This window comes from Homo sapiens, chromosome 13 (genome assembly GCF_000001405.40).
Source record: "Homo sapiens chromosome 13, GRCh38.p14 Primary Assembly".
Taxonomy (NCBI): Eukaryota; Metazoa; Chordata; class Mammalia; order Primates; family Hominidae; genus Homo; species Homo sapiens.
In genome coordinates this window covers 20309133-20329655 of record NC_000013.11, presented here as the reverse complement: position 1 = coordinate 20329655, position 20523 = coordinate 20309133, and the positions used below count along the sequence as shown (strand labels likewise).

At 43.4% G+C, this 20523-nt stretch overlaps 1 long non-coding RNA gene across 1 annotated transcript in view; it reads right to left on the bottom strand.

The window, feature by feature from the left end:
* Nucleotides 1-3434: 3434 nt before the first annotated feature.
* LOC105370102 (uncharacterized) overlaps nt 3435-20523 on the bottom strand; it is a 30534-nt gene continuing 13445 nt past the window's right edge. The window contains exons 2-3 of the long non-coding RNA XR_941720.2: nt 8821-8914; nt 3435-4291 (exon numbers count right to left, since the gene is read on the bottom strand). This is a non-coding gene — a long non-coding RNA (uncharacterized LOC105370102). The remainder of the gene's footprint in view (nt 4292-8820; nt 8915-20523) is intronic.

Genomic DNA, 20523 nt, shown 5'->3' with positions numbered 1-20523 from the left:
CATGATTTGGCTCTCTGTTTGTCTATTATTGGTGTATAGAAATACTTGTGATTTTTCACATTGATTTTGTATCCTGAGAATTTGCTGAAGTTGCTTATCAGTTTAAGGAGTTTTTTGGCTGAGACGATGGGGTTTTCTAAATATACAATCATGTCATCTGCAAAGAGAGACAATTTGACTTCCTCTCTTCCTATTTGAATACCTTTCTTTCTTTCTTTTGCCTGATTGCCCTGGTCAGTACTTCTAAATACTATGTTGAATAGGAGTGGTAAGAGAGGGCATCCTTGTCTTGTGCTGGTTTTCAAAGGGAATGCTTCCAGCTTTTGCCCATTCAGTATAATATTGGCTATAGGTTTGTCATAAATAGCTCTGGTTTATTGAGTGTTTTTAGCATGAAGGGTGTTGAATTTTATCGAAGGCCTTTTCTGCATCTATTGAGATAATCATGTGGTTTTTGTCATTGGTTCTGTTTATGTGATGGATTACGTTTATTGATCTGCATATGTTGAACCAGCCTTGCATCCCAGGGATGAAGCCTACTTGATCGTGCTGGATAAGCTTTTTGGTGTGCTGCTGGATTCGGTTTGCCAGTATTTTATTGAGAATTTTCACATCGATATTCATCAGGGATAGTGGCCTGAAATTTTCTTTCTTTGTGTGTCTCTGCCAGGTTTTGGTATCAGGATGATGCTGTCCTCATAAAATGAGTTAGGGAGGAGTCCCTCTTTTTCTATTGTTTGAAATAGTTTCCCAAGGAATTGTACCAGCTCCTCTTTGTACCTCTGGTAGAATTCGGCTGTGAATCCATCTGGTCCTGGGCTTTTTTTTGGTTGGTAGGCTATTAATTACTGCCTCAATTTCAGAACTTGTTATTGGTCTATTCAGGGATTCGACTTCTTCCTGGATTCGACTTCTTCCTGGTTTAGTCTTGGGAGGGTGTACGTGTCCAGGAATTTATCCATTTCATCTAGATTTTCTGGTTTATTTGCATAGAGGTGTTTATAGTATTCTCTGATGGTAGTTTGTATTTCTGTGGGATCAGTGGTGACATCCACTTTATCATTTTTTGTTGTGTCTATTTGATTCTTCTCTCTTTTCTTCTTTATTAGTCTGACTAGTGGTCTATCTAGTTTGTCAGTCTTTTCAAAACACCAGCTTTTGGATTCATTGATTTTTTTGAAGGGTTTTTCGTGTCTCTATCTCCTTCAGTTCTGCTCTGATCTTAGTTATTTCTTGTCTTCTGCTAGCTTTTGAATTTGTTTGCTCTTGCTTCTCTAGTTCTTTTAATTGTGATGGTAGGGTGTCAATTTTAGATCTTTCTCACTTTCTGATGTGGGCATTTAGTGCTATAAATCTCCCTCTAAACACTGCTTTAGCTGTGTCCCAGAGATTCTGGTACACTGTGTCTTTGTTCTCACTGGTTTCAAAGAACTTATTTATTTCTGCCTTAATTTCATTATTTACCCAGTAGTCATTCAGGAGCAGGTTGTTCAGTTTCCATGTAGTTTTGTGGTTTTCAGTGAGTTTCTTAATCTTGAGTTCTAATTTGATTGTACCGTGGTCTGAGAGACTGTTTGTTATGATTTCCGTTTCCTTTTTTTTTTGCATTTGCTGAGGAGTCTTTTACTTCCAATTATGTGGTCAATTTTATAATAAATGCTATGCAGTGCTAAGAAGTATGTATATTCCGTTGATGGACAATCAAATATTTTTCATTAACCAATCTGAGTAAGCCAATTTGAGTTCCTTCTATTGGCTTTCTCACTTAGTGAACTACTTAGAAAAGCCTCATGTCTCAGAGGGAAATGCAGGTAGATGAAGAACGTTGAGCTCAGTAAACTCCTGTTTGGGGGAATGGGTCAGGTCGAAGGTCATTTTGTGATTAAAATCTGACCCAGCCTTCAGATGACAACCTAGATGTCACTCTCTCCAGCAGTTATTTCAAGGCATTTTGCATGCTCCTCCCCACCTGAGGACTCTGTTAGTACCTGCCATGAACCTTTGGACCTACTGCACGTGGATGATATGGTTTCTCAAGGGCAGGGTGCAGGTATGTATTGTTGGCCGTGGAATACTGAGTACATAGCTAGGTACCTGGTACGGGAGAGCATCACACGTTTGTTGAATAAATGAGTTTTTAAATGACATTCATCAAAATGAAATTGCCAAGAGTCAGGAGGCAGCTAGATGATCTATAAATTAACATTGCAGAGTAACTTCTGTTGGGGGACAGAGCACCCACAGAAGATCTGAAGAGGTTTATGGAAAGTTGCAAGGGCCAGGATTCAGGCCCATTTCAAGTTTCTGTTTCTGACGCTCCTGTTCTTTAAATCAGACATTTCTGTTAAAGTGGAATTATGGTTAAGCAGGGAGCGGGGGGGCTTCATACCAAATAGTAGCCACACCTAACAACTTCTGGCAGCTCTGATTTCTGATTTCTAGCAAAGTGGCTCTTTCAGCACACATTAGGAATATACCCTTCTTGTAAAAAATGATTAAGTACCATTTCAGGAAGGTCATACAACGGGGCCTGGGAAAGGGATGGCATGCACAAGGACACATTCCCCTCTAAATAGACAGCTCAGGTCCAGGGTGGGAGAAAAAAAACACAGCCACCAGCAGCTAGAAAGTGTCAGAGTGGACCTTGATCCACAGGGCAGTGCTCAGGCCAGGCTGTGCTGTGTCCAGCCCCAGTCTGGTGTTTTGAGAACCCACCCCGGGAGTACTGAGCTGAACCAAATCCTCAGCAATGCTGCTTAAATAATGTGAGTGTCCCAGGGCTGGGCATTCACGGGGGTGCAGGAGTTTGGTTTTAACTCCTGCTCAACCTCAGGTCAATGTTTGGAAACAACTTGCTCCAGGCAGCCTTACTGGGAATAGGCGAGGCCTGGGCAGGAGCAGCGGAGGGTCTATGCTGAGGCTGGAATGGTTTGCAGGGCAAGGTCAGGTCAAAACGCAGCCTGGCCCAGCCTAGGAAGACCTGGGCACAGTGGGCTTCAGCCCCCGACAAGGTGTTCGGATGAGATGCAATCAGCAACCAGGGCCTCTGAGCATAGAGAGGGCAGAACCGAGAGAGACGGCATCACCACAGGGGCTGTTACCACAGAGATTGCTACTTATGAAACAGGAAAGATTCCCTTATCCCCTTTGTAGGGCGTGGATGGGAGTATGGCTCACTTCCTCAGTGCCTCACTGCACAAACCTCTAGGGGAGCATACAGATAGGCAGGCTGGGGGGCTCCGACCCCACGGCAGTGTCTAGGGGTGAATGTTTACAGCTCCTGAAGCCCCAGTGGGCCTGTGTTACAGGGTGCTTTCTTAGTTTGCTCTCTATAGGTGGCTTGTATTAACCAGCTCAATTAGACCCTCTACCTTGTCACAAGGACAGAGGGATTCTTGCTTTGGTGTACCGGAAGAATCGGATCACACCTGGGCTTGGTGAATAAAAGCCAAGTTTTATTGAGCAGAAGTAGCTCTCTGCCGGGGGAGCCAAAAGAGAGATGGTTTTCCCCTGGAATTGGGCCGCTATGCAGCCGGGCTCTTCTCTGACTGCCCCAGCCAAACTCCCCCTCATGCCAACAGTGGATAGCCTGCCAGCAGGTTCTTCCATCGGCGTGCTCCCTTGACGTTCTCTTGTGATGCCTTCTTGTCGTCCACCCTTTTGTGTCTTCAACTGCTGATGTGCTGTTCTTGACGTCTGGCCACCTGTGTGTCTGTCCGCTAGGGTGGTGGGTTTTTATAGGCCCAGAATGGGGGCATGGCAGGCCAGGTTGGTCTTCGAAAATGCAACATTTGGGTGTGAAGCCAGAAGTGCCTTTCCTCACCTAGGTCTGTGGGGGTGGAACCCTAGCTGGGGATCCACCTTTCTCTACCCAGCACTTCCCTGCCCCCCTCCTGTATAATTTCCCCTCTGAAGAGGTACGTTGAAGAAATAAAAATTGACTTCATTCGGAAGCTGGGGGCAGAGGAAAACATGGCAGAGAATGGCTGGGCTATTACTGTTAGGGGAACAGGAGCATAGAAGAGCCAGGGTGACATGATTTTAAAAATCAACTCCATCTTGAAACTAACAAGGCACATTCCTTGCCGGTCACGGCCCACTGGCTAAATCATAGGAATACTGCCGTTAGAATATGGTTGATGACCAGTCTTGCTGCTTCCTGCTGACAAGGGGTGTTGTTTTGGAGAAAATGGCAGTCAGAGTCCTCCCAGAGGTCTATTTAAGGGTTCCTAGCAAAGGGGAGCTATCATCTGAGGCTCCAGTTGCCTGACCATTTGGAGTTTGATGGCTTCTAGGCATGAGAGAAAAAAACAAGTTTTATAAGGTCAAGTATGCATAAGTTAAACATGTGTATTATACAAGGAAAGAATTTAGTGCCAACAGAGATAAGTGAAATATACTAACAACAACATTGTACTCCAAGCTGTTTCACCCTGGTGAAAGAAATTAAACCTTGTACGGGGGCAGATAAACTTTAGAAGAGAGAGAACTGTTCTTGCCATATCTTTAGAAGTTAACAGGTGCACCCTGGAATACCTGTATCTCCTCTCTCTTTCCCAGGCCTCCCTGTCTCAATCATAAAAGACCAAGGTGGCCATTTTCAGGAGGTCCTCTAATGTACTTTCTGGACCCAGGGCCCCTTTCTGCAACTTCCTCCTGATATCGGGCAGCTTGAGTAATAAATTTATCCCTTTTATTTTTTTGAGATGGAGTTTTGCTTGTCACCCAGGTTGGAGTGCAATGGTGCGATCTAGGTTCCCTGCAAACCTCTGCCTCCCAGATTCAAACAATTCTCCTGCCTCCACCTCCCGAGTAGCTGAGATTACAGGCACCTGCCACCACACCCAGCTAATTTTTTTTGTATTTTTAGTAGAGACAGGGTTTCACCACGTTGACAAGGCTGGTCTCAAACTCTTGACCTCAGGTGATCCTCCCACCTCAGCCTCCCAAAGTGCTGGGATTACACGCATGAGCCACCATGCCCAGCCAAATTCATCCTTTAGGATTAGCTGTCCCTTGACTGAATCAGGAGATAGAGAGGTGTGCTTTACCAAGGCCTCTCTTAACCTTTCTAGGAAGGCAGTGGGATTTTCATCAAATCCCTGGTCAATCATGGACAACTTAGTATAATTGAGAGGCTTGGTCCTAGTCCTACGTAAGTCTTCCATTATGCACACCTGAAAGTGTCTCATCTTCCAGTCTTTCATCAAGTCATTGGGATCCCATTTAGGGTTGCCCCCTCCCCTATCACTTACCATCCAGACATGAGACGGTCCTCCATAAAGTCAATCATTTTAGAGTCAAGCCTGCAACCCCTCCTTGTATACGGAAAGCAAAAGCATTGCAGCAGGGCGCAGTGGTTCACGCCTGTAATCCAAGTACTTTGGGAGGCTGAGGCGGGTGGATCATTTGAAGCCAGGAGTTCAAGATCAGCCTGCTCAACGTGGTGAAACCCCTCCACTAAAATCCAAAAAAATTAGCTGGGTGTGGTGGTGCACACCTATAATACCAGCTACTGAGCAGGCTGAGGCAGGAGAATCACTTGAACCCAGAAGACAGAGGTTGCAGTGAGCCAAGATCACACCATTGCAATCCAGCTTGGGTGACAGAGTGAGACTCCGAAGAAAGAAAGAAAGAGAGAAAGAAGGAGGGAGGGAAGGACGGAGGGAGGGAGGAAGGAAGGAAGGAAGGAAAGAAGGAAGGAAGGAAGGAAGGAAGAAAGGAAGGAAGGAATGGCACCAGTGGTTCCCTACTGTGCCTAAGTCATAGGAGTACTGGCTAAAAATGCAGACTCCAGACATCTCCCCCAGAATTACAAGCATCCCAAGGAATTCCGCTAAAGGTGATATGCAAACCACATTCTGATAAGCAGATAACTGGGGACCAGGGGCTGCACAAGTCCCACACCCACTAGGAGTGGCATTTATTCCATCTCTTCACCTGACAGGTACAAAGTCTTTCATCTTTGGAAAGAATGGTTTTTCCTTGGGGCATCTCAAGCACTACTTTCATGGAAGAGGAGGTAGTATGGGACTGTTATTGCTTTCTATGGGAAAAAAAAATTGAAAACTAATATTGTTTTGCTTTGGGGTGAAATGAAGAGTAGTAATTGGACCTTTTGTTTTCTTTGTCTTGATTGTCCATTTTTGTAAGAAAGTGAATGCCAAGCAAAATACAAATGGATATAGAAAATTCTGCCTAACTCAGCAATGTCTTTAAATGTAAATACTGCACTAGAAACAGCTAATCTCCAGATCACACACCATACCTCCTCTGCACAGGGGGCTGATGTGCAGCTGCGGCCAAAACCCCAGGAGTGCTCCCTCCTGGGAAAACAGGTCCACATGCCACACAGCTCAGCACAGAGCAAACCTTTACTTTACCCAATCTCTGCTTTTAAATCTTGTTTTTAACAACTTCATTGAGATATAATGCACATGCCACACAGTGTACCAATCTAAAGTGTATAGTGGTTCAGGGAATATTATCCTATTAACTTTTAAAAACTATGGTAATTAACTTAAAAACTATGGTAAAATACGTATAATAGAAATTTGCTATTTCAAACACTTTAGAGTGTTCGGTGAGTGGCATTACATACATTCACAATATAGTACAATCATCACCACTATTTCCAAACTGTTTTCATCACCTCTAAACAGAAACTCTGTACCCATTAAGCACTAACTCTCCATTCTCCCTCCCGCCCAGCCCCTGGCAACCATGATTCTACTGCCTGTCTCTATGGATTTGCCTATTCCAGGCACCTCATGTAAGTGCAATTATACAGTATTTGTCCTTTGTGTCTATATTATTTCACTAAACACAATATTTTGGAGATTCATATGTGCTGTAGTATGGGTCTGAACCTCATTCCTTAATACGGCTGAATAATATTCCATTAAAGAGAACCTGTTTTTCTACTTGTATAACACTTTTGACACCAAATATGTGGGCTTGGTTTTCACTCCAAGCAATGCTCCAATTCTCTGCAGTCACCACCTGCATGTCCTACAATTTAATTCAGTTCTGACACTAACGACCCTATGTTAGCCAGGGCCTCCTGCAATCACGGTAAACATTTAAGGGGTCATATAGCCAGTGGGCCCAGAGGGAAACATGAAACAGGATTTAGAATCCTCGTCGTGTAATCATGCCCAGCCACTGGTTATTAACATCATTAGACCACAGCAGACCTCAACAGACAGAATAGAATCCTCCTATTTTGGCTGAAATAAAAATTGACTTCATTCTGAAGTTGAGGGCAGAGGAGAACATGGGAGAGAATGGCTGGGCTATTACTGTTAGGGAAACAGGAGCATAGAAGAGCCAGGGTGACACCATTTTAAAAACCAACTCCATTCCTTGCCGGTCACGACCCACAGTCATAAGATATTTACAGTTGAAGAAACAGCCTAAAGATACCTGCAAGGATACAATCATATGACAACGAAAAGTCCAGAGGTCCCAATACCCATAACAATATATGCTTTCAAGATAATTATAATTATGACTTGATGTACTTACACATTAAAATATTGAGTATAGTTTTCTTTAAATCAACAGAATAATAAATTTTGTCACGCTGTCAGCCCACCCACATAGAGACACAGCTTAGCTCTGTCTTTACATAGAGAGGACTCCTATGTAAGAAAAACTTAAAGACGAGGCAGTTCCTCCTCTTGCTTTCTGAGGACACCCTACTCTGTATCTGCGTAACTTCCAAAAAACTCTCTCTTCTCACAGCACTTTGTGACTCACCTTGAATTCCTTCCCATGAGAGATCCAAGCACCCTCTTTGGAGGTCTGGATTGGGACCCCTTGTTCTGGCAATGTTACGACTGGTTTAGGACTTTCTCCCTCACAAGGATGGCAGATGAGAGCCCCTCGAGGCCACCTTCTGAGCCCCTGGAGCCCTCGCTACCCACCTTCTCCACGTTCCCCCAGAGCACCTCTTCTTCAACGTGCTTAATTAACACAGAAGTACAGCTTAAATCTTTACCCACGTGATTCCTGACTTCTGCGCAAATTTGGATAGCGATTGAGAAACACAAAAGCAGAGCGGGAAGGAATGTGTGACTTGATAAAAGTGGTACCCTGGAAGGAGGCAAAATCTGATGTTCTGAGCCTGACCATCTTCCAACCATCCTATGTTAGTGTTGCCTTCTAGCCCTCTTAAAACATGACCCAGAGTAAATATATTTTGTGACCCATTACTGCACACACACATGTGCACTCACAAATATCTGAAACAACGTTTACAAAACAGTATCTTGCAACATACGATGCACTCATATCTTAACTCTGTTTTATTCTAATTATGTAGAAAATTCTGGTTGGGACTCACAAATTGATTCTGAAGCCCACCAGGAGGCCGCAAAGAGTTTGCAAATCACTAGGCTGTCCTCGTTGCTCCAAGGAATGCACACGCTCCCTCTCCCTCCCTCTCCTTCCTAGATGTGCATCATTAGGGAGACGCTACGGATCAGAATGTAGAGTTGTTCACACATGTCTAGTGAAGTTCCCACAGTCCCTGGAGCTCAGGATTTTCAGACTTGGCAGAGATGAGGTGACAGACAGGGCAAGAGCGAGGCAGAGACTCACCTGAGAGACCGCCCAGGCTGTGCTGCACTGTGCCTGTTGGGTTTTGCTGGGCTCAGGAGGTGCGGTTTGTGCTAACCATGGCCCTTTCATTCTTGGGGCTTACATATTTTTTAGGAAGAATTTTGGTGCCTAATGCTTCCAATTAAGGGAATGTTTACAAGCATTAGGCTTCCCCGTTTCTTGAGCCAGTCTCAGCTTTGGTGAGGTTTGTCTTACCTAAGGGAAAGCAGCATGAGTGTGGAGGAAGCCGTGGGCAGTGCCTGGGCTCTGTGTCTTTAACCGGAAAGGCCATGTCTCCAGAGCTTCTTATCTGTAAAGTGAAATTAACTAGGAAATTAAGACTGCACAATTAGAAAACTGGGTTTGAAATGTACATGTAAACATTCCTCAGCATATATGCAACAAACAAGTCCACCACTTTTTAAATAATAGATACAAAAGTGCTTTGAAATGCACTTGCTGCTGTCTCTATAGCATGTGTGCTTATTATCCAAGTGCCACCAGGTACCCAGTCTCTTCCATGCATAGATGGTGATCCCTGCAGCACTGAATATGGATGTGGTGCATCCAACTGCAGAAATCACGCTCATAACCATGACCACACACAACTGGCTTCAGGGGCTAATATTTCCAACCCAAGAAAACAGGTTGGCACCTGCTATTTGGGATTACAGGAAGCATGTACACAAATGGTATCCACAGTTAATACAGCTGCAGAATGTGGTGTTCTTGTTTGCTGTGAGAGGCGCAGTCACTTCGGCTTTTCCTTCTTTTCTTACCTTTGGGTTCCTTTGGATACTGTGATGCTGAGGCTTCCCTTGGGGTGGATGATGAGCATGATACACTGATTCAATTACTCTCTTCTGTGAATTGTGCCCAGGGATTACAACTGGATTGTTCCCTGTCTCAGAGACATGCCTGTCTTCAAGCTGAGTGCAGACAGCATTTGCGCTGAGGTTTCAATCACCTAATCATTCTAATCTTGTTTAAATTTTATGGAACTAAGCTAATTCCTCATAATTATGTACACTAAAAATCAGGGTGCTTCTGGGCTGGGCACGGTGGCTCACACCTGTAATCCCAGCACTTTGGGAGGCCAAGGCGGGCAGATCACGAGGTCAGGAGATCGAGACCATCCTGGCTAATGCAGTGAAACCCCGTCTCTACTAAAAATACAAAAAAATTAGCCAGGCACGGTGGCGGGCACCTGTAGTCCCAGCTACTCAGGAGGCTGAGGCAGGAGAATGGCATGAACCCAGGAGGCGGAGCTTGTAGTGAGCTGAGATCGTGCCACTCCACTCCAGCCTGGGTGACAGAGCGAGACTCCATCTCAAAAACAAACAAACAAACAAAAATCAGGGTGCTTCTGAAGCATTTGGGGATGTAGGACTGAATAAGAATTACTTAAATGAAATAAGGTGACATTCTCCAGGAGATAGTTTAGGGAAATGTGTTAATCAGCATTCTTCAGAGAAACAGAATCAATAGGGAAAGAGACAGAATTAGAAGGAGACTGATTTTTTAGGAATTGGTCCACGTGATTATTATGGATGCTGGGGAGTCCAAAGCCTTCACAGCAGGTCAGCAGGCTGGAGACCCAGTGAGGAGCTGGTGTTGCAGTTTAAGTTTGAAGGCAGACTGCTGCAGAATTCTATCTTGCTGAGACCTACTCAAATCATGGAAATCTGCTTCACTGAAAGTCCACCAATTTAAATGTTAATCTCATCCAAAAACACCCTCACAGAAACATCCAGAAGAACGTCTGACCAAATATCTTGGCACGGTGGCCCAACAAGTGGACACCTAAAATTAACCCTCACAAGCCCACCCCTTGTCAACTTGGCATCCAGCCCATCTCCTTAAACCTTGCTTAACCTCCGAATAAAGACAATAACAAGGTCATGCTTCAGCCTCACATGATAGAGCTATCCTGCATACACCCAAAAATACACCAACTCTTTCCCAGAAGAGGATGCAAGGTCCTTGGGGATGTTTACTCTTCTCCTTGATAGCCCATAACTTAAACACTATGATGAAAAGTTAATACTTCAATACTATAGTATAAAATCAACACTATTAACAATATTATGTTATGTGTTAAAGTGATAAGAGAGGGACAAAAACAAATAATTTGCCTAATATATATATGCAAACATATTCATAACAAAATAGGGAGGAAATACTCATGACAGTGACAGTCCTTGTTTCTGTACTGGTCCCATGGTGTCGCTGGTATTTATAGCTACTTTCTTCCACTGCCCATTCTCTATTACCATTTCCCTCAGCAAGCTCCTCAGCTGGGCGTAGTGTTTGACCTGGAAGGGTGACCTAAATTGTCATTCCTGAATGGTTTGAGTCATTCAGACCAGAAGGTTGTAGAAACAGGAGGCACATTTTTTGCTAATAGGCTTCCAAAGGTAATAGTGATTGGTCTATTTCCCATTTCCACCCCTTGATTCCTGGACCTGTCCATGCTGGGAGACACCGCACCATATACAGGACACTGACTCGAGGCACATGCAGCCTTCTGGGGAACCTTGCCCTAGCCATGTGAGTGAGGTATTGCCACCTAGCTGGTGCTACAACCGAGTCTTCAAAAGGTCATCCCACTGTTGTCTCAAGCCGATTACTTTAGGATGGTGGGGAACACGGTAAGACCAGTGAATTCCATGAGCAGGGGCCCATTGCTGTACTTCATTTGCTGTGAAGTGAGTTCCTCAGTCAGAATGCTGTGTGGAATAGTATGACGGTGGGTGGGTAAGGCATTCATTCCGTGAGTCCATGGATGGTAGTTCTGGTAGCAGCATTGCATGCAGAGAAGACAAATCCATACCCAGAATAAGTGTTTATTCCAGTAAGAACAAAAGAAAGCCCCTTCCATGATGGAAGGGGTCCAATATGATCAATCTGCCCCCAGGTAGCTGGCTGATCACCCCAAGGAGTGCAACTCAATATTAGTCCCTGCTGCTGGCAGATGGGGCACTCAGTGGTGTCTGTAGCCAGGTCAGTCTTGGTGAGTGGAAATCCATGTTTCTGAGCTCATGCCTAAGCTCCATCTCTACCACCATGGCCACTTTGTTTGTAAGCCCTTTGGGTGATAACATAAGTAGCTGGGGAGAGGCTGGCTGGTATCCACAGAATGGGTCGTTCTGCCCAACTGGTTGTTAAAATCCTCCTCTACTGAGGTCACCATTTGGTGAACATTCACAGGGGACACATATATCTTCAAATTTTTTGCCCACTCAGAGAAGTCTATCCATGTACCTCTTCCCCAGACTTTCTTGTCACCAATTTTCCAATCGTGTTCCTTCCAAGTCCTTGACCTTCCATTGGCCACGGCCCAGGAAATGGTATATAATTACACATCTGGCCATTTCTCCTTCCAAAGTGAACAACCAGGTATAATACTCAATGTTAACCATCACAGGGAATTCAAGACCTGGGAACTTCACATTACTGGAGCATCTGCCACAGGACTGGATTCTGCATCAGACAGACCAGCACATCATCCTTAGCTGGGTGGGGGTTTTACACCTTCAACAATTCAGTGGGTAATTATCAAGACCCATTTCATTGTAGATCTAGAACACTGAATTCCTCCCCAGAGGAAATTGTATTACTATTACATACAATTATGAGACTTCAGACCAACAGAATGGCCATCAGCTGTATCTAAAACTACATAGAAAGAAAAGCGAAAGGCCCAGCACAGTGGCTTGCACCTGTAATCCCAGCACTTTGGGAGGCTGAGGTGGGTGGATCACTTGAGGTCAGGAGTTTGAGACCAGCCTGGACAACATGGCAAAACCCTGTCTCTAGTAAAAATACAAAAATTAGCTGGGTGTGGTTGTGCACACGTGTAATCCCAGCTACTTGGGAGGCTGAGGCATGAGAATCACTTGAACCCAGGAGGCGGAGGTTGCAGTTCCGAGGTCACACTACTGCACTCCAGCCTGGGTGACAGAGCAAGACTCTGTCAAGAAAGGGAAGAGAAGGGGAGGGGAAAGGAGGGGAGGGCACCCTAAAGTAATGCAAATACAGTGGGAAAATATTTTTGTTGGTCAACAGCATCATGAATGTGATAATCACACTAGGATTAAAAATACATATAAAGAAGAAGTTTTGCTGAATTTTGTTAGTTTTGAAAACCCCGGAATGGAAATATGAAAGGAACTGGAAAACCAAGATATTTATTACATAGTGTTGCTTGCATCTGCTTCTTAGAAAAATCATGTTTGATAACCTTTTAAGGCGTAAGCTAAATGGAGGGTATTAAAACTTTTACAAATAAAAAATCATTATAACAGGAAATCAGCATAAGCCACTTCTAGTCATAAAATTTAGAAACAAAGCCCTAAAAACTACCAGAGTCAAGAAACGGACATTTTTACTTATAGTTCAAAATTTATACCTCACTTACTTACAAAAAGCATTTGGTGTAACGTAAAACGTTAAAAGGTATAGGGAAAGGCAGTTAACCATTGAAATTGAGATAACCATTTGCAAGGGTGAGGGGAGATAATTCATTGGTTCCAGGGAACTTGGATCTATAGGGAATTTTACTTACATTGCTAATCCAAGGACCTGAGTTATTAAATATTTTCCCAGGCCTCTGACAAATTCCTCCTTTTTCAGTTCTGTATTAGCTCTCCTGGAACTTCTTGTCCATGCACATGAAATTATCAACCAGCCATAAACTACTACCTTCCAAACCTATTACATTATATGTAATAGTAATATGATTTCTTCTGGGGGGGAATTCAGTGTTCTAGATCCAGCCTACACTTATATCCCAACCAGATGTTTCACAGGTTCACCCGACTCAGTACCCCAGGACCAAATTCATCATCCTCTCCCTGGTGTCCTGTTTCGTTTTTTTTTAGTAGAGATGGGGTCTCATCATGTTGGCCAAGCTAGTCTCGAACTTCTGACCTCAAGTGATCCACCCACCTCAGCTTCCCAAGTGCTGGAATTACAGGCATGAGCCACCATGGCCCAGCCTCTCCATCTTCGTCTCTATCTTAGATCTCACTACTATTTCCTCAGTTGCCCAAAACAGCCTGAATCATACTTCTGTTATCTCACATCTAATTGGTCATCAGGTTCTGTTCCAACAACACCCAAATAAATCTACATCCTCCTCCACGTTCCCGCTCCACTACCTTAGCTCAAGAGCTCACCCTCTCTCCTGGAATATTACAAAACCTCCTTATTGGCCTCCAGAGCTCTAGACCTCACTATCTTCTTCCTTTCTCTGAAAAACTCCCCCCCATACCACCACCCCCCCCACCCTCCACCCCCCAAAAAAGATCTGGTCACCTCATTTCCCAAGCTCAAAATTCTTCAACAACTCCTCCTGGCTAACAAGATAACATAACCTCCTCACCACAGCATACGATGGCCTTCATGATGGGGCCCTGTCCATACAGCTGGCCTCACTAAAGAATGAGCTGTTTTACCTGAGCACATTTTCAAGAGAATTCATGTTTATCTCTAAGTATAATGAAAATAATTAGGTTCATATTGTTAAAAATATTTCCAACATATATGAATTGTTGGAGTTTCAAACAGATAACTCCAGACATAATCCCCCCTCTGATGGCACGGGGCCACCATTATGGATCCCAATTCCTGGGCTGCACTGCAGGCATGAGGCCCTTGGGGGTCTCCCCGGCAGCCTAGGCCATCCACCTCTCCACTCACGCCCCAGAATTAGAGGTGGTCAGTCTGCTAATTTTACCACTTCTTTTCAGTTCACCTGTCAAATTCTACCAACACCCCCTCAGCTTCTGACAGTCTCTCCATTGGGCTCTATAGATACAATAGCTCATGTTAAATTCATCAGCTTACTTTTACATATAACTCAAAATCAGTAGGCTCCCAGCTGAGGGCTTGGAGATGGGTCAGCCCTTTCCTCTGGATTAGAGCGCATGGGCTCCCAGCAGCTCAGCTTCTCTCCCTGCTTCCTCTTCCCTGTAGATGACTGTGTTCTTGGGGGTTGAGGCAATCTATTCACTAGTTTGAATGGTGGGGTCTACTGTACCTCAAGGTTTACTGAGCTGACTTAGGAATTTATCCATGTGTTTGTAAAAGAGCAAGGAAAAGGACTCCAGAAACTCCAACCCATGTCCCTGTTTCACTCTTAACCCATGTATCTCTCTGAAGTTCTCCTCAAACAAAGGGGAAGGCTGCTCCTCCAGTGACCCTAGGAGGTCCCAGCCTGGCCCCTCAGTGGTTGCCACAGCTGATGCATGACCTGACTGCCAGCAGCCATGCAAAGAGACTGCACTGATCCAAATACCACAGGCTTGTCCTTGATCCCAAGGAATACTGAAAGGGTCAGATTTTGGGGGTTGTATAAATAAATCAAAATATCTCCCAGAAAAGTTAAGTAAGTATGGAGAAAACTAGCTCCTGTGAGCACACACTCAACGTTAGTTTGCTGGATTTGTCACTGTGGACATTGATTTTTTTTTTCTCCCCAGGAAAATGAATACGAGGGAGAATCTTTTTGACAGTGTTGTAATTACAGGGAGAAGAAAGAACTGCTCTGATTGAAAGCATATTGTCACATAGTCCAAGTGTGTATATGTATGTCTGTATCCTGCATGTCCTAAACTAAACCCTGTAAAGGTTTGTATCATCCCATAGCTCCTAGCATTGTGCTCTGAATGAAAACATGTTAAATAAATTTCTTAACGATTTCCCAAAATATTCAAGTGATTTAAGTTTTATCTGATAGAATGACCCATTTAATGTGAACCCATTGTCTTGACGGTGCTGTGTGTGGTAAGCAGAAGCACATGGTATTTGCCTGGGAGATACAGTATACATCAGAGTTGCTGGAAAAAAGATGAGGTCCTTTAGGAAGCCACATAGCTTTGCATGCCGCATGAACTCTGGGTTGAAGAGTGACAGAAGGCATCACCCCACTTACTGAGTCACGCAAACGCCTCTTGCAATACCTGCATTTTCCCAATCATGGTCTTCGCCAAACTAGATCCTTCTAGGAGTATTAACAGCTGGTAATAAATATTTCATGGGGCATCAGAGGGGAACAGAGTGTAAACACCTGGCTGTGACTGGCAGAAGACAAGGACATAGGCAAGGCTAGGACTTGACAATGACAGAAGGGATAGAGGTTGGTGTAAGAGCAGATGGTGAGGGTTAGTTTTCTAGAAAGGAGCAGTGCAGACTCTTAGGGTTCCATGGCTGTCCAAGAGACCAGACAGGAAGAGAATCTCATGTATGTAAAGAGGCTCAGTGAGTGATGGCTCAACCTGAGGCAGAGGAACATGAAGAACAGGGAGGTCAGCGTCCCTCCCTGTGATTTGGCCACGTAAGTGGCAAATGTGACTGTGGCCACGGATCTGAGGGAGGTATCGTCCTCCCTGCCCAGGTCACCTGCACTCTGCAGCCTGACAGCAGGCAAGCATGGGGAGACAGGGACAGGGAAGGCTTCCAAGCGGTTGTTACCAAAAGGGAGGTGGTTTCATCTTTTTCCCCAAATCTTTCTATTTTGTTTCTGGGACTGCTACCCTTTTCCATCTGTGCCATCCTTACAGTTTCATCTTAATTCTGGTGATTCCCAAAAGTATATTTGCAGTCTAGCAAGCACTCTGAATTTCCCAACATCTACCAGACATTTCTGCTTATACGTATTGCTGTTCCATCAAGCACTACATATGCACAACAGAACTCTTCATTCTCTTTCCCCCATAGAAGCAGTTTCCTCTTCCATACCCATTTTCTCATCTTGGTCAACAGAGCTATGAGTCCTCCATTCCTTCAGGCTAGAATCCTGGGAACCCAATTTTGAATTCATGTTTCCTCTTCACCTTAAACCTAGGATCCTTCATCCCTCATCCCACTCAGGCCCCAAGTCCTGTTGGTTCCACTTCTAAAATCTCTCTCCTTTCTCTTCACCGCACCAACCTTGCCTAACTAAGCCTTTTGTGCCTTCAGGCGCAGATCATGAAATCGGCCTTCTAGCTGATGACTCTGATTCCCATGGCACTCTACTGTAATCCATACTGTCTACTGCTTTCCAGCTATCCTTCCAAACGTGCTACTTTAGTACAATGATTTTCTTCTCCAAGAACCCCAAGTGTCATACAGTCCAATCTCGACACCAGACCATGAACCCCCTACCCCATGGTCTGGTCCACGTGCTCATTTCCCAAAGCTCCCGATGGGTACCCTCTGAGCCTCCAACATGGCTCCTCTCTGTCTGTCATAGACACATGGCCATAGCCCACCTCTATGATTTGGTTCAGTTCTCTCACATGTCCTGCCCTGGAACCACTCCCTGCCCATCTGTCCAGGTGAGATCTCAGTCTGGCTCATTACCTAAAGCTTTGTTTGTTCATCCGGGTCTTCCAAGAAGCAGACACCAAGATGGGATTACGCAGGCCAGGATTTTATTAGGGAAAATATCTTTGACAGGAAATGAGGATGGAGCCAGAGAAGGCTGGGAGCATCTGCAAGTCTGACCCTGAGTGAAGGAGACAGGGAAGGCAGTTCGAGTGGAAATGTCCTAGACAGTGTTCACTCAGTCACTGGCTCAGAGCAGCCAGAGGGCAGCTTTGGCCTTGGGACAAACACTGCTCTGGATTTCAGAGCCCAGCTGCTTGGGCTCTCCATCAAGAACGTGCTTGCAGTTGAAGATCTGCAAAGGGCATTACCATAGTACCCACACCTGGTTTAATGCCATGGGCCCACATGCATCTCTTCATTCTGCGAATTCATACTGCACCCAGAATCAATACCTGCGTCATCTGGAACTTCACTACTTTTACCTCAATTGTGTGTTTTATCTCCCCAAACTCCTCGAATCAGGTACCACATCTGATGCTTCTTCAGTATGCCCCCACCATCTGGGAATACCTAAGACATTGCTGCAGAGATAGGTGCTCAATAAATGCTATTAGACTCTGAGTCACGTATCCTTGGTTCATTATGGAAAGGCATTGGGCACTGATTAATAGAGAGAATGGTAAAACCACTCCTACCTTATTTCTGATAGATTTGCTTGCAGATTAATAGCAGCAAGGGGAGGAATACCATTAAAAATAGCCCTTTTAGTAACAAGAGGGACTCAGAAATTTAGCTATGCAAATTATGGGAAAATTGGAAAGAAAAGAAGAAGAAGGAGGAGAAAGAAGAAACCCAATGTAAGAATGCTTCTCTGTTCTGTTATTATGGATACGAATATAAAGACTAAGCCAGTCATGCTTCCATTTCTAAGGGAGGAGGGGGAGGTGTTGCAATCACCAGCTGTGTTTTGTTGTGTACAGGGATCCACGAAAACAGTCCTGTGGCAACTATAAAAAGTGGCAGGTTGGCCAGATAGTGGGAAAACAGCTTCCCAAAGAATCTCAATTCTAAATTTATTTTTTTTTAATTTAAACAAGACTCACCATATTTTTAAAGTATTGTTTTGAGTGAGCTAGTGTGAGAAATGTTGAGCTCTGGGAGGAATATGAAGAGTACTTCCTATTTTCACTCAGGCCCATCAATGGCTATCACCTGTCTTTGTTTCCAACAATGACAAAGTACATTCTGTATATCATCTATGAAGTTGCTTCCCGTCTCTCAATTCCAAGATGTTAGAGCCAGGGCACAGGCTTACAGAGTTTTCCCAAAGATGCAGGAGTAGGATTTCAAAAGCCTTGCATTTCAGACTTGAGTTTCACTTTACTGAGATGATTTAGGTAAAACTTTCCAATTTTTCTTGCTTACAGACAATAGTCATGTGTCGATTATATTTTAAAATATAGACTATTTTAATACATTAAAATACATACAATGTGATATATTAATATATAATTTAATATATTGATTAATATATTTATTTCATATATTTTAATATATTAAAATAATATTGCTATTGATCCAACAACTCCTGAGACTTACTTTATTAAAAATATTAGCATCAAGATTTACTCATTTTGTATATTGTTTGGTTCAATTTGCCAATATTTAGTAAGGATTTTTGCCACTATGTTCATGAGGAACACGGTGGTCTATAATTTTCTTTTCCTGTAATATTTTTATCTGGTTTCGGTATCAAGATAATGCTGACATCAAAGATGAAAGAACAATTTGGTAATTGTTCCCTCCTCTTTTTTTTTTTTTTTTTTTGAGATGGAGTCTCACCCTGTCACCCAGGCTGGAGTGCAGTGGTGCTATCTCAGCTCACTGCAACCTCCGCCTCCCAGGTTCAAGCAATTCTCATGCCTCACCCCCCAAAGTAGCTGGGACCACAGGCGCATGCCACCACGCCTGGCTAATTTTTTTGTATTTTTAGTAGAGATGGGGTTTCCCATGCTGGCCTTGAACTCCTGACCGTATGTTATATGCCTGCCTCAGCCTCCCAAAGTGCTGGGATTACAGGTGTAAGCCACCACGCCCGGCCCTCTTTTATTTTCTTTTATTTTCTTAAAGAGTTTGTGTTAGGATGGTAATATTTCTTCCTTAAGTCTATGATACAAATTTAATTTCTTTCATAGATAGAGGACCATTCAGATTTTCCATTTCTCTTTGTTACAATTTTTGAAATTTTAAATTTTTTGTTATTTACACATTTAATATAAATTGTCAACTATATTGGCATAAAGTTGTCTGAATATTATTGCCTTATTATTCTGTAAATGTCTGTAAGAACTGTGATGATATCCCATTTTTCATTCTTGTTACCAGTAGTTTTTTTCTCTCTCTCTCTCTTTTTACGTGATTAGTCTTGCTAGAGATTTATCAGTTCTCTAAAGTTTGCTATTCTATAGTTCATTTATTTTTTCTCTTATTTTAATCATTTCCTCCCTTTTACACACACTGGGTTTAATTTGCTCTTCTTTTTCCAACTTCTTAAGAAATAAATTTAGATCATTATTTTAATTCTCTCCTCTTTTCTGTTACAAGTATTAAAGCTCTAACTTCCCTCTAAGCATTGTTTTAGCTGTATCTTATTAATTTTCATATGTTGAGTTTTAATTACCACTTGGCTTGAGGTATTTTATAGATTCCCTTGTGATTTCTTCCTGACCTATGGGTTATTTAGAAATTATTTTTTGGGCTGGGCGTGGTGGCTCAGGCCTGTAATCCCAGCACTTTGGGAGGCTGAGGAGGCAAATTGCTTGAGTTTATGAATTCAAGACCAGCCTGGCCAACATGGCAAAACCCCGTCTCTACTAAAACTATTTAAAAAATTAGCCAGGTGTGGTGGCACACGACTGTAGTCCCAACTACTTGGGAGGCTGAGGAGGAAGAATCGCTCGAAACCAGGAGGCAGAAGTTACAGTGAGCCAAGATTGTGCCACTGCACTCCAGCCTGGGTGACACAACCAGACTTTGTCTCAAAAAAACAAAAAAAGAAAAGAAAAGAAACTTATTGTTACTGACTTCTAATTTAATTGTAGTCAAAGGACATATTCTGTAAGATTTTCAATCTTTTGAATTTTGTTGATACTTATTTTATTGCAAAACACGTTGTCTATCTTGATGAGTGGTCCGTGTACACCTGAACAGACGGTGCACTCTTTCTTTGGTGCTGCTATGCTTTATAAACGCCAATTCGTTCAGGTGGCTGATGTGTGATTGTTATCATCTAGACCCTTTCAGATACTTTTGCTTAGTTGTTCTGCCATTTACAGAAAGCCATTTAAAATCTCCAGCCATGACTGTGGATTTATCTATCCCCTCCTTTAATTCTGCCAGGTTTTGTTTCATGTTTTTGAAGCTCTGTTTTGAAGCATATGCACGGTTGGGATTGTTATATCTTCCTGATGAAATGTCACTATCTTTGTTAATACTCCTTTCTTGAAGGCTACTTTTTCTTACATTAGAATGGCCACATCAGATGCTGTGTAATCACTGTTTTTATTGTATATATTTTCCTTTCCCTTTTCTGTCCACCTGGCT